This window comes from Homo sapiens, chromosome 1, assembly GCF_000001405.40.
Source record: "Homo sapiens chromosome 1, GRCh38.p14 Primary Assembly".
In the NCBI taxonomy this organism is placed as follows: Eukaryota; Metazoa; Chordata; class Mammalia; order Primates; family Hominidae; genus Homo; species Homo sapiens.
In genome coordinates this window covers 3024076-3036621 of record NC_000001.11, presented here as the reverse complement: position 1 = coordinate 3036621, position 12546 = coordinate 3024076, and the positions used below count along the sequence as shown (strand labels likewise).

The following is a 12546-nucleotide window of genomic DNA, read 5'->3' as shown; positions in this document are numbered from 1 at the left end:
CCCCGAGGTCGAGGAAGGAGCCCTTCTCAGGGGGTGGGGCTTCCTTCCTGTCCATGGGCTTGGGACACTCACAGAAGCCAGGCTCAGGATCCCCCTCATGCATCCTCCCCATGTGCTGAGACCTGGAGTGGCTGGGCTGGCTGCGGTGACTTTCCCCGCCATCCCCACAGGCAACCCTCACCCCCCGTGCCCAGCCACATAGCCCCCAAGGTGAGCACTGGGATGGGTTTCACATCCCTCCCCAAGAGCCTGAACCTCACTCTGCCCCTGCCTCACTCCATGTGCCCAGCCAGGCTGCTGGGCTCAAGCACAGCCTGGAGTCAGGAGGGCCGACGATGCCTCGCAAAGTTCCCAGGCCTTGAGGACCAGCCACTTCCACAGCCTGACAGTGAGAGCTCCTGGTTGTTAAGGGCCTGGACGCTTTTGCTCACTTCATGTTTTCCAAACATTCTCTGTGCTTCTGCCTCCTGGACGTGGCCGCACCATCCCCAAAGCACACTTTGGCAGCTAGGATGCGTCCTGCGTGGGGTAGGGTAGATGGCATCCAACTCTCACAGCTCATCAGTGGGCAAGGGGCCCCACCCCGTTTCCAAGGCCGAGTGGAGATGTGCAGGGGCCAGGCTGTGTGGGGGTGGTGAGGACCCTCATATGGAGGCCAGCGCTCAGGGTCCCCACCTCCTGTAGAAAGCGGGTCAGTCTTCAACTGTCCCCCTTGGCTGTATTCCATGAAACAGGCTCTGTCCCTGCTAGCCAAGGGCTTAGGGCAGAAGGTCTCACTCCTTATCCCCAGAACAGAGAAAGAAACATCTAAAATAAATGCTATTGTGTAATCCTCGTGGAAAGAATGATTTTGGTTCCATGTAATCCCCGGCAGAAAAGCTGTAGTCATTTCAGACTCTGGCTGTGTAAGAGCTTCGCTGGTGAGGGGGCCAGCTGGACGGAGCTGCGAGTGCAGGAATCCCCCAGACCCTGCAGAAGAAGCTGAGCTACAAAGCCATTTTGTGGAGCTGAGCTGCCTTTCTTTCCATCTACACACGTGGCTTCTAGAAGGGGGGGGGGTCTCTCAGGCCCCCAGGACAGCTCAGTCACAGCCACTCGGCTCCTAGCATGAGTCAGACCTCAGGAAGGAGGCTGGGCTCCAGAGCCCCTATTGCCTGACACCTGGCCCCTGCCCAAACTGCTGACCATGAGCAGGCGCCATTCAGGAAGGACCTCTTTGGAAGGGAGGGAAGGAGAGAGGGAGGTATGTACCTTTTCAGATCGTTGGCGGGGAAGCCAGACGGGGTGCCCCAGGATCCCCGGGGTCAGAAAGGATATCCATCCTGAGGCTCAATGTCCCCAGTACTTGTCACGGGCTTCAACGTTATGCTCCAAGCACCACTGCCCTGGAAAATCTGGGTTTACTCAAAGCCAAGCATGCAGCTCACTTCTCTTCCCACCGCTCTGTGGCCTGGCTGGGCCCATGGATGCTGCTCCCTACTCAAGGAGCCCAAGCTCCTGATGGGGTAGGCCCTGACCCCTAGGTCCTCCCAACCCCATGCCCACCTCCACCCTCACAGCAAGTCACCATCCTGAGGATGAAGCCCTGGAGTTTGCTGCTCCAGAAGATACCTGGGGTCCTGGTTTCCCTGAGCATCTCCTGCACCCGCCTGGGTCATGGACACAGCTGTCCACGTGCACCTCCTCCCAACACCTCCCCTCCCAGGATCTCCAGGCCTGGGGCAGACACCTGGGTGGGGACACGCAGTCGGTCCGCACACTGACTGCTTCATCATTCTTCTGTAGGTGACTACTCTGGAGGTGCAGGGGACAAAGGAGGGTCCCCCCACCCTGGTCAACAAACCCAGCAAAGGGCAGGACACAGTGCTTCCTCCCCTCCAGGGACCCTCTCCACTCCAGGCTTGTCCAGGAAATCCTGCTTCTGCAGGACTGGATCAGATCAAGGATTTCATGTATTTACCATCCCTGGAAGGTCACGCATGAGTCTTTCCTGCAAACCTCTGGCATTTAATTTGCACAGCAAGGAATGGCTGTCTGGAGGCCTGAGTAGAGTCAGAGGCTGACTTGGACATGGAGCTGATTGCTGTTTCTCCTCCCTCCATGTTTGTGTGTGCATGGTGGCACACATATACATGTGTGTACACGTGTGTCTACTCACAGGCGAGCATATATATCCACGTGTGTGTACATGCCTGTGTGTGTCTACCCTATAGCCTGCTGTGCAATACAGAGGATCCCCACACTGCAGGTGGCTGACCTGGGGTAGGACCAAGACTCAGGGTCGGGAGACTGCCTGACATCTCACAGCCCCAAAGGCCAGTATCGCAGCTCGCCCAGGATTCGTCTTCAGAGGAATCACAAGCTTCTGTCTAACTGGTTAGGGGGTGCACAGCAACTTACACTGTGTGGATTGCTTTCAACAACTTTGGAATCTTTTTTTTTTCTCCTAGATCTGGCCTTTGCTATGGTTTTGGCTTTAAATTTGTATTTGCATTCAAAAAGAATTTGTATCTAGAAAGGATTCCTACCTTTCATTCACCAGTTTTCAGAAAAGCAAGCTGGTTTTCTAGCATCCTACAAAAGTGGCAGCCACTTAGTGTGTCTGCTGCTAGCATCTCTGTGAACTTGGTCTTAGGGACTGGGACATGCATCCATCCTCCATCTGTGCTGCAGCCCAGCGTCTCTCAGGGATGCCTCTGTGTCCCTGGCTGAATGTCATTTCCCTGTGTTTCATATCCAGGGACAGGGGCTAGAGCACTCAGAGCTTTGTGTGCAAATGGGAGGAATTTTGCCAAAGCCAGCAAGCCGGGCAACACGTCCAAAATGCTCACGGCAAAAATGTGAGCCTCAACTGCAGAGCGGAGCTGGCATTCCCCACATGAGGTCTTCCTCTCCAAGGGGACCCTGATTGGATGGGCAGCATGAGTGTCCATCCCAACACCAGCGAGCCCTTGCCTGGCTCTGTCCAGTCAGGCCCCAGGGCCCTCCTGGGCTCTCATGTGGCACCCCTGCACCATAGGAAGCGCTTGACAGCAAGGGGTCTTTTGAGCAGAGCACATGTTGCATTAAACGTGCGTGGAACGTCATAAACATTTCCCATCACTGTCCTCCTGTTGGCAAGGGTTCTTCAGAGAAACAGAATCAATAGGAAGTGTGCTAGACTCTGTATGTGTGTGTGAGAAGCGGCGGGGGGGGGTAGTTTAAGGAACCAGCAATTGTGGGGGGCGCTGGCAGCCTTGACAGGCTGGAGATCTAGGAAGAGTTGATGCTGCGGTTTTGCATCTGAGGGCAGGACCCCCTCCTTGGGGAGCTGGTCTTTTCCTCTGAAGGCCTTCCCTTGATTGGATGAGGCCCCTCACACGATGAGGGGCCCACCTGCGTGACTCAGAGCCCGCGGATGTCAGGTGTGCCCACATCTAAACACATCTTCACCACAACATCTGGTGAAGTTGGGTGGAGGTGGCCCAGCCAAGGTGACGCGCAAACTCACCCACTCCCCACGCCTTACACACGCGACAAAACCATGGGAAGCTCGCAGCTCCCGCCACTCCCGGCCCGGAAATGCCTCCCGCGTGGCCCAGGCTTTCTTGCTGAGCCCCTCCCTCCACTGCAGACACAGCCAATGCCTCCAGGCCTTCCTCCAGCCTCAGTTTTGCTTTTCTCATTCCTGTGTCTGGGGATGGGCTTTATGGGAACCATCTCCCGGGCTCCATGAGATAAGAGATGCGCCCCCTGCTCAGCCGCACAGCCCCTCGCTCCCCTAGTGGTCTCCACCAGGCTCCACTTCCTGCCCAGCTGCTGCCCCTTCACTGCTGTGGAGGGTCAGCCTCGTCCGGGACCGGCTCCAGGCCAGCCATGTCCTGCTCGTGGGGCCCCAGCCTGGGGTGCACGAAGTGGAGCGTGTTCCCCTCACCTCCTCTTGGGGCTGGTGGTGCCTCTTGCTGCATTTGGCTGGCCCTGGAGATGGCCGGCAGGAAAAGGGGTTGTGCCCTCTACAGACACGGAGTGCCACGCCAGGGTAACGTGCCTCGTTGGTGTGTCTCCCTTCCCCCGGGCCATACCCAACATCGAGTCACCCCAAAGCCTTGGAGGCACCCCCAGGGCAGCCCAGCACAGCCCACATGGTCCTCCTTTTCCTCAACATTTAGAGGGCATTCGCTCCACCCCAGGCCCTGCACCAGGTGGTGGGATGCCCCTTCCTACCCTGGAGTCGACGCTGGCTCCTACCCCTGCACTGTGAATTCCCGGTAACAGCCAAGCCTGGGCTCCTGTCAGAATCTCAGGACCCACCAGGGCCTGGCTGCTCAGAGAGCCCATGTCTCACCGGGGACCGGCCTCCAAGACTCCCTAGGCAGAAAAAGGGAGCAAGAGTGTCTCTGGCTGTCCCTCCATCTTGCACCGTGTTTGTGTGTGAAATGTCCCAGTCTAACTGGGCGAAAGAGGAGAAGGCTCCGGACGCCTCCCCCCGTCCTCCCCAGGGTGCCCGGGTGGCAGCAGGGCCAGACCTCCACAGAGTGGATCAAGCCTCACAGCCTGCAGCCCTTCCCAGGAAGGCTCTTCCCCTGTCCAGCCCCCAGCCGGCTCCCTGAGCTCCCTTTAATTGGGCCTGACAATTTCACACTCTGGAGCCGGACGGTGCTTGTTTTGGCTGGCCGGGCTGCGGGCCCATCCTCGCTGGCCCGGGTTGCATAACTGTGAGGTATCCTCTTACGCTGGCCGACGCCTCTCAGTGAGCCCTGAAGCCCGCCACGGCGGGTGGAGCAGGCTCCGTGCTCCCTCTCTGGGAGGCGGCCCACCCTGCCAGGTGTGGGGGCTCTCGTGTCCCCTGACCCCGAGGCCTGGCTGGCAAAAGTGCATGGAGCCTCCAGCCTATGGGAGCCAGGAATGGCCACCTCTGGCCAGAGTTGGCCTGCGAGGGTGGTGATGGGCGGGCATGTCTCCACCCTCTGATCACATCTCTCCCAGCGTCAGCGTCATTGCTGGCCCTGCCAGAGCACTGCGGGCCTCAGGTCCAGAGACAATGGTGGGGAGGGGGTGAATCCAGGAGTCGCCTGCTGGGCGTCCTTGTGGCTGGCCGGCCCCCCAAGGGATCCCCGGGGAGTGGTGCCCAGCTCCCTGGCCCCCGTGTGTCCCTGGATGCCATCCAGACAGCCCAGATAGGAAGACGTCCCAGGGCCCTGGGTTCCAGCCCGGACACTCTCTCCCTTCCGCTGCTGCTGACACCCAAAGGTGGAGTGAGAGAAGAAGAGATTTGAATAATGGGAGAAAATTATTATATCTTGGTGAGCTGGAGCCCAGCCCTGTCCCCCGTGGCTGTGATAACTGAGGATGTCTTACATTTCCCCACGCTGAGCCAGGACCAGCCATGACAATGTCTGCATTGTTTCCCATGCCGGGCATTGTCACCGAAGGACAGTGCCCCGGACACAGGGGCCACAGCGCACAGGGATCAGCACGTACTGGCAGATCATGGACACCTACCAGAAAGCCGAAAGCCGTGGCCAGATCTGAAAGTAAATGTGGAGGAGGGAAGTGGTGGCATGCTGCTCCTGGCTTTGCACAATGGCCTGGTGACAGTTTTGCCCACATTGGGGACACAGCCCTGGGCCAGCGGGGATAGCAGGCGCCCTAGCAGACAGGCAGGCATCGCCGTGGGGTGCAGAGATTTTCACTCCTAGCAAAACTGTGAGGCTGGAGCAGCTCCGGCTTCCTCGCTGGGGCCTGGGTGAGGGGCTGGATCTTGCCGGCTGCGGGGCCTGGCCCTGCCGAAGGAGGCCTCCTCTTAGGACAAGAGCAGGCGTGATGCTTGGGTCCTGCCCTGTAGGAATGAGAAGGTTGGTCTTCCCTGGTTCCCTGACCCATAACAAGGGCCGGGGAGGGGCACTGCTCTGGGTCCCCTTGGCGAGCCCGGCATTCCCTCATCCCACCAGTCCAAGTGCCCCTCACTCTTTCTGGGGCAGCCCCACTCTCATGGAAATTCTCTAAAGAGTCATCCTGGTGATGAATGCCAAGGGAGCTAAACTTAGCCCACCGTGGCTCTGCCTCCCTTCGCCCCTGCGTTGGGCTCTGCGTTGGGTGGGAGCCTTGAGAGCAGGGAGTCCATCTTGGGGTCATCACCGGGTCCGCCCTGTGCCCTGGGCCTTGTGCCCCGACCTCGGCCCACGGCAGCTTCAGACATCCTTGCGCATCCCAGAGCGGGCACTGCCGACTCTGCCCAGCTCCCGGCACAGACCTGCCCAGAGGGCCGGGCATGCGGGAGGACCCACTGTTCCTGGGAGCACCTGCCAGGCAAACGAATGACCTAAGGTCTGACTTGGTTGGTGACTCCAGGCCCCTCCTGGCCTTGGCCAGACCCTCCTCGGGCTCCTGGCTCGTGCCCGAACCACAGGGCTTTCCCGCCCCCGGGACCACAGGCGTGGACTTCACCTTCTGGGAGCAACGTGGTCTGTGCAGCCCTCGAGGCATTCCTAGGAGCCTCGGCTTGCGGGGTGCTGATAATTTCACTCTGGAGCCCGACGGTGCGGCTTGCCAGCTTCCAGATGAGAGGGGATTTACGGGCTCTTAGGAGTTCAAGTGGGTTCCCGCCAGCAGCCGCTGGAGCCCCTGGTGGCAGAGGTGTCCTGAGATAGCCTCCCTGATGTCCCAGGAGGTGACCATGCCATGAGGCATGGGGTGCTCGAGTGTGGGGATGCCCTCCTGGCCCAAGCCTCCCCTAGTGTGGCACTTTTTGTGTCTAATCACTTCTAGGCTCCTGACCTAGAAGGCGGGAAGGGAGTAGCATGGCCCGTCCGTGGCACCGGGGCACCCCACCCCACCCCACAGCATCCGTCACCATCCATTTAGGGTCATGCCCACATGCCTGCATACCAGGGGCTGGAAGCACCGGGGAACCCCACCAACCCCTTCTTCCTGGGGCCTGTGAGCAGTGTGTGAGCCAGACTTCTTCCTTTCATGGCTGGTCTCTTCTGCCTGCAGGTGCCTGCCCAGCTCCCAGGATCATGAGTCCCCCCTGCAGCCTGGCCCATCTCAGGGACAGCATCCCCGACGTCTTCCACAGGGAAAGGAGCTGTCTCCACATTGGGACAGACGGGTCAAGGGGGGCCGGGATGAAGCCACCCTGTGGGAAGGGTCCTGGCTTTGTGTGCCGGCCCCTGGGGTCCCCTCCCAGGTGACAGGGGCTCCGCTGGGAAGGGTCCTGGCTTTGTGTGCCGTCCCCTGGGGTCCCCTCCCAGGTGACAAGGGCTCCGCCGGGAAGGGTCCTGGCTTTGTGTGCTGTCCCCTGGGGTCCCCTCCCAGGTGACAGGGGCTCCGCCGGGAAGGGTCCTGGCTTTGTGTGCTGTCCCCTGGGGTCCCCTCCCAGGTGACAGGGGCTCCGCCGGGAAGGGTCCTGGCTTTGTGTGCCGTCCCCTGGGGTCCCCTCCCAGGTGACAGGGGCTCCGCCGGGAAGGGTCCTGGCTTTGTGTGCCGGCCCCTGGGGTCCCCTCCCAGGTGACAGGGGCTCCGCCGGGAAGGGTCCTGGCTTTGTGTGCCAGCCCCTGGGGTCCCCTCCCAGGCGACAGGGGCTCCGCCGGCAGCCGCACTACACTCCTTATCTGCGCTGGATTACCGGGAACCCGCTTGAACGCCTAAGAGCCCGTAAATCCCCTCTCATCTGGAAGCCGGCAAGCCGCACAGCATTTAAACTGTCGACAGTTACACCTCATTTGTTTACAAGCTTCCTGCGCTGGCTCAGGGGGACTTACATCCCTGCATCGGGTTTCCTGGGGACCCCCAGGGAGGCCCAGTCCTGCCCTCACCATCCCGGAGGCAGAGGAGCCCCGTCCCACACTCGGGAAGGAAGGTAGAGGGTCGGGGGCTTTGGATCCAGAGCCCAAAGCCTCCCCAGACCACTGGCTCAAGGGGAGTGAGGCAAAGGGAGCTGAGAGCTCCGTGCCCTGCTGTGGGCCGCCCCACTCTGGCCCCCGGAGTCAGCAGTGACCCTTGGGTCAACTCTGGTCTCCCAAGCGGGGGTCTGGGTCCCCGCAAAAGGAGAGAGAGTGAGTGCAGTGGTCGGGGCATTTATCCAAGTCAGCTGTGTGCCTAGACACACATGGAGGGGTGGAGGCCCAGGGATAGGGGTCCGGGTGACAGAGGCTCTTCGTGAGTCCCAGAAAGCCTGGGAATGGCAGGGCCTTGTGTGCTCAACACCTGCTGCTGGGTGGAGGGGGCTAGGGCCTTAGAGACCCTCAGGGTGGAAATGTGGACACCAGGGTGCAGTGGGTGTGAGCACAGGGCTGGGGGCTCCTTCCCTGGGGTGCTGCCCACCCAGCTGAGGTCCATGCCCAGGACCTCCCGATGGCTGCTCCAGGTGGAGAGCGGCAGCTGCAGCAGAGGCTGGAACTTTACCAAGCTTTGCCCCACCTGCGAGGGCTGGTGCCTGCCTGGGAGGAGCGTTTGTACCGAGCTCCCTGTAGGTGGGACGGGTGACCCCCGCCACCCGGGAAGGCGGAACGCAGCTCAGCAGAGCAGCTTCCCACCACTCCGAGTAGGGGCAGCCCCATGGTACCTCTGGGGCCAAGTGTGGAGCTGCCTGTGAGGCTCCCATTCCTCGGCGGACTTTTGAGGGTTTGAGGGTTAGTCTCCTCCTGTGTGGATTCTTGGCTGCACTTGGCCCCTCCACTAGGACCAGCTGTGGATTCCTGGAACCTTGACCTGGGCCCTCACCATACGGAGTAGCTCTAGGGCTTAGAAGGGCCGGACTCTGCCCCCGATGGCATGGCCACTGGAGAAGACAGAGTCATGCCTGTCTTCCTCAGACTCTCCCGCATCCTCTGCCAAGGTCTGTTGGGAGCCTCTTCCCGGTGTCCTGCCCACCTCACCCTCAGCCCAGATCACAGAGGGTCCTGCTCTCACAGGAGCTGGCCTGGGTGTCAGGCAATGTCTTGCCCTCTGGCTGGAGCCATGCCATGGGGCAGGCAGCCGCTCTCAGGACTGTGTGCCATGCCCCCCCCCCCCCGCCTGCCCCTGGTGGAGATGAGTCTGCAGGGGTGTAGGACCCTGGAGCACCAGGTCCTCCAGAAAACATCATCATAGTGGTGCCATTCAGCAAGGGATCATGGCGCCTCCATTGGGGCACAGGCATCTGGATCCCCTGGTGCAGCAGTGCCCTGAGATAGCCTCCCTGATGTCCCAGGAGGTGACCATGCCATGAGGCATGGGGTGCTTGAGTGTGGGGATGCCCTCCTGGCCTGATCCTCCCCTAGTGTGGCAGTTTTTGTGTCTAATCACTGCCATAGATGGAGCTTCTGGGCTCTCGTGGAACCTGCTCCTGAGGGTCCATAATGGAAGCCAGGACTGGAGGTCAGTGGAGGAGATGATGGAGGCAGGGGCACTGAGCATGGGGTAGCCCTGAGCACCCTCCACCTGCAGACAAAGCAGTCACTTCTGAGAGGTCCCCGGGACAAGAGGCAGGAGCTGACAGCTACTGGTCCCCACCAGTGTCACTGCAGGGCCAGTCTCAGGAGAACCAATTCTCATGTTCTCTGGGCTCTGCTCCATGTCCTCTCTTCCGCCCGCGAGTTTTGAACAAGAAACCCCTCCAGCAGAGCCCCCAGATGGCAGCATCCAAATGGCACGTCACAGAAAGATCTTGTTTAGGACCAAAGCAAAGAGCTGGCTGGGGCTCGTGGAGTCCTCTGACAGAGTCTGGGCATGGGAATGCATATGCTCCCAATAGGGAAACAGGCTCAAGCCAGTTCCTGTGGATGCCTGCTAGGCAAGGTCAAACAGTTCAAAGCCAGAGGGAGGCGTCTCTCTCCTCCTCCAGGGCTTAGCCCAGCCCATCCCCTGGCCTTGGCCCTTCACTTTGGACACCTCCAGGCTGAAGCAGGGTCAAGCCTCGGATGCAAAGGCTGACCTCACAGCTCCTCCCAATTCTCCTCCCTCACTAGCAGCAGCCTCGTCTGCTTGACACGCTCTGGACCTTCCACCCCTCTCAAGAAAGCCACAGTTAAAAGCCAGCTGTGTTACAATGCTCTTTCTAGAAACTCTATCAGGGCCTTGGGGGACTGCTTACCATCTATTCACTGCAGTGCCCCAGGAAGAACATAGTTCTGAAGAACTAGAGGTCAGAAAACCACCATCACCATTTTCATCACCATCATCACCACAGTCATCTCAGTTGTGGTCATCATCACCATCATTACCACCATCATCATCATCATTACTATTGTCACCATCACTGTCATCAGCACCATCAACACCACCACCATCATCCTCATCACTACCATCATCACCACCACCATCCTCACCATCATCATGATCACCACTACCATCATGTTATTACCATCATCATCACCATCACCATCATCATCCTCACCATCATCACCACCATCACTGTCATCATCACCACCATCACCATCACCATCACATCATCACCATCATCATCACTATCACCATCACCATCATCATCCTCATCATCACCACCACCATCACCGTCATCATCACCACCATCATCATCACCACCACCATCATCACCACCATCATCATCATCCTCACCATCATCACCACCATCACTGTATTCATCACCATCACCATCAACACCACCATCACCATCACCATCATCACCACCATCACCATCACCTCCATCACCATCATCATCACTGTTACCATCATCACCACCACCATCCTCACCATCATCATGATCACACCACCATGTCATTACCATCATCATCACCATCACTGTCATCTTCATTACCATCATTGCCACCATCACCATTATCACCACCACCACCACCATCACTGCCATCATCACCACAACCATCACATTCCTACCACCATAGCAATAGCAGTAGTAGCAGAAGCCATCATAAGAAGAGAAGCAGGGTGTCTTGAATAGAAAAAGGGAGTTTTCTTTTAGTTCTATTTTATTTGTGGTGTAGTTTAGTAACATGGGGATCATCTGGAGTGGAGAAGGGTCTAGGAGGAGTATACAAAGGAGAAGGAGCCATGGTCTGGGACTCTGGGCTGAGCTCTGCTCTCAACTCCCTGTGTGGCCTTGGACATTCTCACCTGTAGACTGGAGTGACCCTGACAGGAAGGGCTTTGATGGTGGAGGCCAGGAGCCCTCACTACATTTCCTTGTAACTTTCGGGTACCATGGAAAGAAATAAAAACCTCATTCAAAGGCCCCATTCCTACCAGGTCCTCCCTTAAAAGGCTGGATGTAACACAGCAAACACACATAGAAAGACTGGGAGGTGGAAGGCCGCCCAGGGACCTCGGGACTGGGGCTCCTAGGCTTCCTGACTGTCTCCCACACGTGTCTAGCAGGGTGCTCAGAAGCCTCTGACCCAAATCTCCAACAGGCACAGACACAAAAAGCTCCCAGAAAAGCCTGTTCCCCCTGGGAACAGGGTGACCCAGCAGAATAGCTTTTTGGAAACACCTTCCTTACTCCAGCTCAACACCAATGAAAACACCACACCCCACCTTTGGGTTTCAGTGGGAAAGTGGGGAATTGATCTAACACCCTACCTCCACCTCACTCCCGCCCCTTCCCACCCCCACATTACCCCTACACCTCACCCCACTCCATCCCCTTCCCTCCCCATCTCACCCCCATCCTATCCCCACCTCCCTCCACCCCCCACCCCACCCCACCGCCCCCAGCAGCAGCAGTGAGGCTGAGCCAGGTGGTGTGAGCCAGTCTCATCGCCACCACTTCAGCCTGAACCTTAGGGTCAGTGGGCTCCCTGCAGGGATGTGAACCCCCAGCATTCACGCGGTGGGAAAAGGTGATGGGATAAGCCCAAAGAAATCCACTCCGAGACGCATCAAAATTAAACTTCTGAAATCTAGAGACAGTGAAAACTCTGAAGCAGCCACAGAGACCTGACCCATGACCTGGGGAGCCCAGCGAATAACAGAGGATGCCTGATCGAAACCAGGCGGCTGGAGAGCCCGAGAGCTGAAAGGAAACGGTGACCTGCAGATTCCACTGCAGTGGACACAGCCTTCAGGGATGAGGGAGAAATTAAGTCACCTCAGTTGAAGGAAGGCAAAGATTCTGTTGCCAGTGTCCTATCTTTGCAGAATGGCTGCAGGAAGCTCTCTAAACACAGGAGGAATAACAGCACAATGAGTCTTGGGCTTCAGACAGGACAAAAGAACACCAGATTGGGTAAAAATAGGGGTCAATAGATTCGACTTGACGAGCTTCTTAAATCATATTTGATGGTTGAAGGAAAAATCTCAGCCCCCCTGATGTTGCATTCAGTGCACACACAGCAGACAAGACAACTGTGTTTTAGAGGTGAGGGGGAAGGGTCCCGGACAGAAGAAGGTTTCACGTTTCCCTCTAATGGTACCATGTCAATGCCCGTAGCTTGTGACATCATATACATCCCGGCATATACGGCGTAATACCCAGGGTGACCACTAAGAAACCTACAAAAACGAGGTACTCTAAACACGCTAAATAAATCAAGACACAATCCTGAAACATGTTCCAGTAACCCAGAGGGAGGTAAGAAAAGAGAAACAGGAATGAGAAGCAGAAGACACAGC

At 58.1% G+C, this 12546-nt stretch overlaps 1 annotated feature.

Annotated features, from left to right (window-relative positions):
* Nucleotides 12104-12273: an enhancer, noted in NCBI's record as "experimental_6552 CRE fragment used in MPRA reporter constructs". NCBI's record gives its function as "activates a minimal promoter by MPRAs in K562 erythroleukemia cells, with activity observed for both the introgressed and non-introgressed 1:2940998 variant alleles {active_cell/tissue: K562}" and the evidence as "EXISTENCE:reporter gene assay evidence [ECO:0000049][PMID:34662402]".